The sequence below is a fragment of the Homo sapiens genome, chromosome 12, assembly GCF_000001405.40.
Source record: "Homo sapiens chromosome 12, GRCh38.p14 Primary Assembly".
Lineage (NCBI taxonomy): Eukaryota > Metazoa > Chordata > Mammalia > Primates > Hominidae > Homo > Homo sapiens.
In genome coordinates, this window is record NC_000012.12 from 33,171,853 (window position 1) to 33,181,672 (window position 9,820).

At 36.4% G+C, this 9,820-nt stretch overlaps 1 annotated feature.

Annotated features, from left to right (window-relative positions):
• Positions 8,389-9,588: an enhancer, noted in NCBI's record as "P300/CBP strongly-dependent group 1 enhancer chr12:33333175-33334374 (GRCh37/hg19 assembly coordinates)". NCBI's record gives its function as "activates an origin of replication core promoter dependent on BRD2, BRD4, P300/CBP, MED14 and CDK7 cofactors, with strong dependence on P300/CBP, by STARR-seq in HCT116 cells {active_cell/tissue: HCT116}" and the evidence as "EXISTENCE:reporter gene assay evidence [ECO:0000049][PMID:35650434]".

The following is a 9,820-nucleotide window of genomic DNA, read 5'->3' on the forward strand; positions in this document are numbered from 1 at the left end:
GGTTTTAGTACTAGGAAGCCCATTTTTGCTACATGCATAAGCCAAGTTCTATGATCAGGACTTTACTAATGATGAAACTAATATCTTGATCTTTCTTAATCTGTCCTTATAAAATTTTTTGGCACTATTTTACAAATAATCTATAACTTGGGCAGGGAAAATGGATGCTGTTTATTGCCCACCCCCACACAAAAAAACACCAGCTACTTGTGAATTCGTCAGCAATATTGAGAGATAGCTCTAGGTGAGCAAAATGACTTTGTCTAGCATGTTTTTAGTTTGATGTTGCTTTTTCAAATTGGGTTTTTGAACTTTGCCACAATTCATCTTGTTCCATGTGGCTGCATTTTACAGCTAAGTGTCCATTTTTAACTGTTATAACCCAGTCGGGCAGCTTTACAATTAAGCACTAGTCATATTAGATTTTTACACTGACAGTTCACTACAACTTAAGATGTTTTTTCCCAAAGCAAGAAGCTCTTTTTACCCGGGAAAAAAGATGTTATAGAGATAGAGCAGTACTCATGAGACTTTGAGCAAATGATGTATGAGTCTTACCCACTCTTATTCATAGTCTAGGACAGAAAATACAAAATAGTCTAAGAAAATGTAATGAGATTTATATTTGAAATTGCCTCTTTCATTAGAACTAAGGTGTGTTGATGCTAGTGTTTTCTTGATCTTTATAGAACTTATCAGTGGAAGAATTTAAAAAAATTGTTTCATGAATGTTACATAGTTAACAGCAATTGTACTAATGCCATTGATTCCAAAATGTATTCCAAATTCAAAAAGATAAAATAGGAAAAAACAACATAAATCTTAGAATTGGTGAAGTATATAGGTGATTTGAATGTTATTGGAAGGGCTAAAATAATTAGGTTCTCAGTTGGGTCTCTAAGAAAATTTGCAGGACGATATACTGCTAGTCCACTGAGAATGCTTCTACCTCCGATATCACACTTAAGAGTTATGCTTAGAAGTAGGAAGCTACTGTCACCACTATACTTGCTTTTCATACTTAGAAAACTAGAAAATGAACACTGAAATTCTGTTCAAGGAAGATGCACAGTTCCAAACTTTTTTGGTCAAGAAACACCAGCTAATAGTCATAGAAGATAACATCTGCCTTATGTTTATTTTTCCAGTCTCACAAGAGTTCATCTAATTGGTGGAACCTAATTTGCATCAAGAACCCTTGCTTCAAGGGAGTCTAGTAGATTGTGGTTGCAGCTTCTAACCTTTTTAATTATAAGTATAGAATGGGGATTGAGTGAGAGAATCCTCAGTATTTAGTACCTTAAGCAAAAGTGAAAGTCTTAGGAGGGGCTGAACAAGTGAGTCTTAGAGTGCAGCTTGTCACAAGTTGAACTTGAACTATCTAGGTGCACATATGGGGCACCAAGAGTGCCTCAGTAGGTCCAGGTCAGGTGCTCAGCCTTAAGAAGTGGGTGCAGCCAGGGAGGGGGGCAGATTAAAGGGAAAAGATTGCCTCATGGGTGGCGTCATCCATCTCAAGAGTATGAAAGCAGACAAGATTTTGTGAGTAATATGTTCTTTTAGCAGATCAGTAAGTTACTGATATCAACTTCCTATGACAGTCACCTAAGTTTGTTCTTAAGATGTCCCATCTTAAGTTTAAGTGAATATCATAGGAAAATAAATCCCATCAGTTCACTTTGAACTTAAAACTCAACAAGATGAAAATAAACAGTTTAAAACTTTTGCACATTTTGTAATAGAATTGTTTATTTTCATCTTGTTGAGTTTTAAGTTCACTGTTGAACATATTTGATAAACTTGATTTCATTTTTTTTGCCATTTGTAGTTGGTATTAAAAATTAGAATTTCAAGTGCTCATTGCTGGTATGTATGAAAGGCAAGATTGACTTTTGTATATTAACCTTCTATCCTGCAACCTTGCTACACTCCCTTATTAGCTCCAGGATTTTTTTTTTTTTTGGTTGATTTTTTCAGATTTTCTACATAGACAATCATGTTATTGCAAACAAAGGCAGTTTTATTTCTTCCAACCCGATCCGTATACCTTCTATTTCCTTTTATCTTTTTGCTAGCTAGGCCTTCCAGTACCATGTTGAATAGAATGTTGGGAGAAGACATCTTGTCTTGTTCCTGAACTTAGGGGAAAAGCATCCAATTTCTTACTATTAAGTATGCTGTTACAATAGGTTTTTATAGATATTATTTATCAAGTTGAGGAAGTTCTCTAATATTCCTGGAAGTTTTTATTATGAATAGGCATTAGATTTTGTCAAATGCTTTTCTGCATCAATTGGTAAGATGATTGATTTTTATTCTTTAGCCTGCTGATGTGGTGGCTTACATTGGTTGATTTTTAAATGTTGAATCAGTCTCGCATACTTAGAATAAATCTCACTTGTTTCTGGTGTATAGTTTTTTAAAAAAATACATTGTTGGATTCAATTAGCTAATATTTTATTGAGGATTTTTAATCTATGTTCATAAGATCTATTAGTCTGTAGTTCTTTCTGTGATAGCTTTATCTTGTTATGATATTAAAGTAATGCTGACCTTATAGAATGAGTTAGAAAGTGTTCCCTCTGCTTCTCATTTCTAGAAGTGAGTGTGGATAATTGTATCGTTTATTTCTTAACTGCTTAGTACAATTAACCAATAAACTAATCTGGGCAGACACTTTCTTTCTATGGAAGGTTATTAATTATTAGTTCAATTTATTTAATAGATTTGGTCAATTTAGATTATTTATTTCTCCTAGGGTGGTGGTTTGTGTCTTTCAAAGAACTAGTACATTTCATCTAAATTATCAAATTTGTGGATATTTCTTTATGACCCTTCTTAATGTCCATGGACACAGTAGTGACAATCCTTCTTCAATTTCTGATATTTGCAATTTGTGTCTTCTCTCTTTTTTTCTTGATTAGCCTAACTAGTGGTTTATTGATTTTATTGAAATTTGCAAAGAACTGGCTTTTTGATTTGTTAATTTTTTAATTGTTTTCTTGTCTTCAATTTTATTATTTCTGTTTTAATTTTTAGTATTTCTTATTTCTGTTTTAGGTGGAAATTGCTCTACCTTCTTTAGTTTTGCAAAGTGAAAACTTAGATGATTGATTTTAGATTTTTCTTCTTTTTCTAATATATACACTTAATGCATACATGTTTCACTACATTCCATAAATGTTGACAAATTTTATTTTAAATTTAATTTAGACAAAAATATTTTTAATTTCTCTTGAGTCTTATTTTTTGACTCATTATTATTTAGATGTGTCTTGCTTAATCTCCAAATATCTGGGGATTTCCCAACTATTCTGCTGTTCTTGATAATCTAGTTTAATTCCGCCGTGACCAAAGAACACACTTCTGTGGAATTTATTTCTTAAAAAATTTTAAGATGTGCTTTACAGCCAAGAATCTGTTCTGTCTTGCTGAATTTTCCATGTGAAGTTGAAAAGAATAAGTATTCTGCTGTTGCTAGGTAGAATAGTCTATAAATGTCTGTTAGATGAAGTTGACTGATAGTACTCTCCAAGCCAACTATATTTGTACTGATTTTCTGCCAGTTTGTTCTATCAATTACTGAAAGACAGATGTTAGATTCTCTAAATGTAATAGTGGACTTGTCTATTTCTCCCAGTTCGATCAGTTTTTGCCTTACATATTTCAATGTTTCATTGTTAGGTACAAGATGTCTCATTATGTTGTCCAGGTTGGTCTTGAACTCCTGGCCTCAAGTGATCCTTCTGCCTTGGCCTTCCAAAATGTTGGGATTACAGGTTTGAGCCACTATGGCCGGCCTCCAGCTTTCTTTTGAATCGTGTCAGTACGTATGTCTTTCTCTATCCCTCTACTCTTAGCCTATCTGAGTCTTTATATTTAAGGTGGGTTCCTTATAGACAACAGTTATTTGGGTCTTATTAAAAAAATCATTTTGACAATCTCCTTTAATTGGTGTATTAGACTAATCCCATTAAAAGTAACTTTGACGTAGTTGGACTAATACCCACCTTGTTTGTAACTTTTTTATTCATTGCATTTGGTCTTTGTTTCTTCCCTTTTCCACCTTGTCTGCCTTCTTTGGTTTTAATTAATGTTTTCTTTCTTTTTTTTTTTTTCTGAGATGGAGTTTCACACTTGTTGCCCAAGTTGGGGTGCAAAGGCATGATCTCGGCTCACTGCAACCTCTGACTCCTTGGTTCAAGCAATTCTCCTGCCTCAGCCTCCCGAGTAGCTGGGACTACAGGCGTGCACCACCATGCCTGGCTAATTTTTGTATTTTTAGTAGAGACAGGGTTTCACCATGTTGGCCAGGATGGTCTCCATCTCTTTATTATTATTATTAGACTTTAAGTTTTAGGGTACATGTGCACAATGTGCAGGTTTGTTACATATGTATACATGTATACATATGTATACATGTATACATATGTGCCATGTTGGTGTGCTGCACCCATTAACTTGTCATTTAGCATTAGGTATATCTCCTAATGCTATCCCTCCCCCCTCCCCCCACCCCACAACAGTCCCCAGAGTGTGATGTTCCCCTTCCTGTGTCCATGTGTTCTCATTGTTCAATTCCCACCTATGAGTGAGAACATGCGGTGTTTGGTTTTTTGTCCTTGCGATAGTTTGCTGAGAATGATGATTTCCAGTTTCATCCATGTCCCTACAAAGGACGTGAACTCATCATTTTTTATGGCTGCATGGTATTCCATGGTGTATATGTGCCACATTTTCTTAATCCAGTCTATCGTTGTTGGACATTTGGATTGGTTCCAAGTCTTTGCTATTGTGAATAGTGCTGCAATAAACATACGTGTGCATGTGTCTTTATAGCAGCATGATTTATAGTCCTTTGGGTATTTACCCAGTAATGGGATGGCTGGGTCAAATGGTATTTCTAGTTCTAGATCCCTGAGGAATCGCCACACTGACTTCCACAAGGGTTGAACTAGTTTACAGTCCTACCAACTTGACCTCGTGATCTGCCCACCTTGACCTCCCAAAGTGCTGGGATTACAGGCGTGAGCCACCGCTCCCAGCCAATATGCTTTCTCTTTATCTCTTCTCTTAACATGTCAGTTATATTACTTTAAAAAATGCTTTTAGCGGTAGCACTGGAGTTTCCAGTATACATTTTTAACTAATTTAACTCTACCTTTAAATAACATTATTCTATATCACATGTACCACAAGTATCTTAGAATATTCCCAATTCCTGCTTCCTGTCTCATGACATTGCTGTCTTTCACTTCACTTATTCATACGCTGTACTCACCCAATATGCTGTCTGTCTTATCCATTAAGTAGTTACCTTTTAGATCAATTAAGAATAAAAAACTAAAAACTTTTATTTTACTTTCATTTATTCTTTCTCTAATGTTCTTGCTTTATGCAGACCCAAGTCTCTGATCCATGTCATTTTTCACTTTTTTTCTATGACACACTTTTAAAATAAAACATTTATTGTCATTCAAATCTGCTATTAGGGAGTTCCCTCAGTTTTTCCTTCTCTGTGAAAGTCTTTATTTCTCCCTTGCTTTTGAAGGATAATTTGACTGGATATAGAATTCTAGATTATGTTCCTTTCAACACATTGAGTATTACAATCTGCTCTCATCTTGCTTGTGTATTTTTTTCTGATGAGAAGTTTACTATAATTCTTATCTGTATTCTTCTAAAGATAGGTAAGGTGATTTTTTTCTGATTTCTTTCAAGATTTTTTCTTTGTCTTTGGTTTCCTGCAGTTTGAATATGAAATGTCTAGGTGTGGATTTTTTGATTCTTATCTTTCTTGGTCTTCTCTGAGTTTCCTGGATCTGTGGTATGTTGTCTGTGAATAATTTTGGAAAACTCTCAGCCATTATTACTTGCAATATTTTTTTGCTCTATTCTGTCTTTCTTCTCGTGGTATTCTATTTACACCTATGTTACAACTTTTGAAATTATCTCACAGCTCTTGGTTGCTTTGTTCTGGGTTTTAATTTTTTCATTCTTTTCTCTCTTTGTACTTCAGCTTGGGAAGTTTTAATTGATTTATCTTTAAGCTCACTGATTATTTCCCTGGCCCTGTCTCATGTCCTGATGAACCTCTCAAAGATATTCTTCAGTGTTTTTGATTTCTAGTATTTCCTTTTGAATCTTTCTAGGGTGTCCATCTCTATGCTTATACTACTCATTTGTTCTTGTATGTAGTCTATTTTTGCCATCAGAACCCTTCACATATTAATCGTAGTTATTTTAAATTCCCTTCCTGATCATTAGAACATCTGTGTTATATCTGAATCTGGTGCTGCTGGTTGCTTTCTGTTTAGACTGTGTTTTTCCTGCCTTTTAGCATGACTTGGAATTTTTTTGTTGAAAGCCAGATATGATATCTTGAATAATACAAACTGAGGTTAAAAAGGCTGTTGGTGTGAGGTTCTGTGTTAATCTGACTAAAAGTGGCAGTGTGTTTAGTTTTTGCTGTAGTTATAGGTATAATATTATAGGTGTTAGAGGCTTCAGATTCCTCTAATGTCCTTGTATTTGTCTTCCCTGTTAATGTTGATTAATATTTTGATTAAATATTAATAATGCATCTCTTGTCTGTGAATCTCTGGATTCACCTGTCTTTCCAGATTTGAGGGTGATGATTTTCCCTGTGACCTCAGTTCTCTTATTGGTCCAAAAAAAGTCTTTGACTTTCAGTTTATTTAGCTTTTTCTTGTTGTAAAGATGGGTGTGATGACTTCCAAGCTCCTTACATGTTGGAGGTAAAACTGGAAGTCCTTCTGGTAGGCTTTTGTGGGAAATGTTACTGGACATAATATGGATGAGAAATAGAATAAGGAGAAAATTTTCGGTCTTGGAGTGAGTGGCCTGAGAATTATGTTAATTGAGGAGTTGCTCAGGAGCATTTGAGTGCATTTTCAGGGCAAAATTAACACTGCCTATCAAGGGGCTCAGGTGGATTCCCACAAGAGAAGAAGTTTGCATGGTGCAGTAGCCTCATGAAGGTGGGAGGAGGACCATTGGTAGAAACTGCTGATCTCTTCCTCTAAAGGAAATAACCACACCTTACATTGATTGTCATCTGAATCATTAAGCTGAAATGGCTAAGAGATAAAAAACTGGGGAAATGTCAGGAGAGAACACTTCTTCCCCATGGCTGCTTTATTTCAGGCAATTCCATTAGCTTTAAATTCTGGGTTTATCTCTGTCCTCTCACTCTTCTCCAGAAACCGAAGTGTGACTTACCATTGATGAGTTTGGGAGAGAAACCAGGAATATATAGTTCAGCCCCTTCGCTCTTTGGAGCTGGCTACCTGTAGAAAGCACCCGTTCTGATCTGCCCCTGCAAGCTGTTTAAAGAGTCAGGCCCCACCTGGGCAAGACTGTAGTGTTCCATGCTGCTTATACTCAGGTGAGCCTGCCTATTTCTTGTTTTGTAATTCAAAACTCTATTGTTACCCTGTACCTAAGCTGTGTCATGCAAACTATGCTTTATCAGCAATAAAAGAAATATTATGATTTTTATCTGTTTGACTATTTTTAAAATTTCTGAATACGTTTGTTGCAGTCTCACCAATGCACCACAACGTAGTAGTCTCTCATGAGGTATCACCCAGAGTTCTTTGTCTCATGACCAAGAAAATTAAGGTGCATAGACAGAAAGGATGAGGTTGGAGTAAAAGTTTAATAAGCGAAAGAAGAAAGCTCTCCATCGTGGAGGGGTGGCCCAAAAGAGGGTTGCCATTTTATAGTCAAATACTAAGTCTCTTATAAAGAGGCTACTAGGGCAAGATATTTCATTTATATAAGGCTGTAAAAACTGGTTGGGGGTAGGTGTTTCATTTGCATGAAGTGTGAATTCCTGACAGCTCCTCCCTGTCCTTTTAGTGCACATGTGAACGCTTAGCCTAAGTTACCCCATGTTGTTTAATTTACCTTAGTGAATGTATGTAAGGGGGCAGAATTCCCCATTGCTGGGTTCTGTGTTACTCCTCTTATACATGTTTCAAGCAACTCCCCCTCCCCCTTCCCCTGTGCAAACTCCCTTATCTGAGTATGTCCAAAAAAGGAAACAAATGTGCTCACTGAAGCCCACTGTGTATATGTGACCCTTGCTAGTTACACAGAAGGCATCTTTATGGTGGACCTTGCCTCCTTATCTATGCTTGAAGTCTGATCTTTCAGGCTGTTCTTTTGTTAGTGAAAAAGGAATTCTACCGAGGACTTGTCCTAGCTATCTGCCTAACTGGTTCCTTTCTTTTCCCTCACTTTTAGATTGAACAGAAGATTTGAAAAGGTAGTATACAGTATTCTGGAATACTGCTGACACAGATTCCCCTGTTCTTAATATCTTACATTACCATGGTAATTTTGTCACAACTAAGAAACAAACATTGATATATAATTATTAACTAAATTCCAGGCTTTATTCAGATTTCACTATTTTTTCCCCTAATGCTTGTTTTCTGTTCCAGGATCAATTTAGTCATCGATTGGTCTAGAACAGTTTTGTTTCTTGTTCTTTATTATTTACTGTTTTCTTTTTTTTTTTAGATGGAGTCCCACTCTGTCATCCAGGCTGGATAGAGTGCAGTGGCACAATCTTGGCTTACTGCAAGCTCTGCCTCTGGGGATCAAGTGATTCTGCTGCCTCAGCCTCCTGGGTAGCTGGGATTACAGCCATACACCACCATACCTGGCTTATTTTTGTATTTTTAGTAGAGACAGCATTTCGCCACGTTGGCCAGGCTGGTCTTGACCTCCTGACTTCAGGTGATCCGCCCATCTTGGCCTCCTAAAGTGCTAGGATTACAGGCATGAGCCACCATGCCTGGCCTATTTACAGTTTTGAGATGGCCAGGTATTTTGTAAAATGTTCAGTCTGGTTTTGTTTAATGTTTTTCTCACAGTTAGACAGATTCTGAATTTTGGGGAAGAATACCACAGAAGTGATATGCCATTCTCATCACATCATTTCATGGTACATGCTATCTACAGGAGTAATGACTGATGATATAAATTTTGAATCCCTGGCCAAGACAGTGTTTTCTAGATTTAGCCACTGTAAAGTTACTCTCTTTACCTCTCTTTTCTATACTCTCAGTCACTGATTACAGCTCACACTCAAAAGAGGATAATGCTTAAATATTTTTGGTCTTATTTTGCAGTTAGTTTATGAATCAGGCAAATCAGAGAGTTGATATTTATCAAACCACATGAAAGAAATTCCAACATGAGCAAATACCCACATACTAGTCACCAGCAGGATGAGTCAGGAGAGCAGATCCATTAAAACAGAAGTGACATCTGCGGTCAGATGAAGGGGAGTGAACTTCAGGGACAGGGGCTTCTCTGAGAGGAGCAACTGGCAATGAATGGCAAGTTGTACAACATATAGTGTAGCAGCTAGAACCAAGAGGAGAGGCAGTATGTTCCCACTGGAGGATTTTAATACACTGATCATCAGTTAAGGAATACATTTGCCCAAACTCACACCAGGTAATCAGTTCCTCAATGAGTTGCATAATTGAAAAAGAAAATCAATTTTTCTGTTTTGCTTTATATGAAAACTCAATGTTCTTTTGCTTCTTTTCCCACATGCATGTGTGACTGATGGCCAGGAAAAACCAAATGAATTAAGTTTTAAGGGCAACCTCAGCCCCTGGGTCATCTTTGCTAAAGAAAGACAAGTGGGTGGGTGAAAAGACAAATTAAAAACCTTCTACTGTCAACAAAGTTATCTTACTTTAGATCAAATACCAAGGGAACCAATTGAATTTTCTGCTGTTTTCATTTGAAGCTCTTTTACTTTGTTGGTTATTGC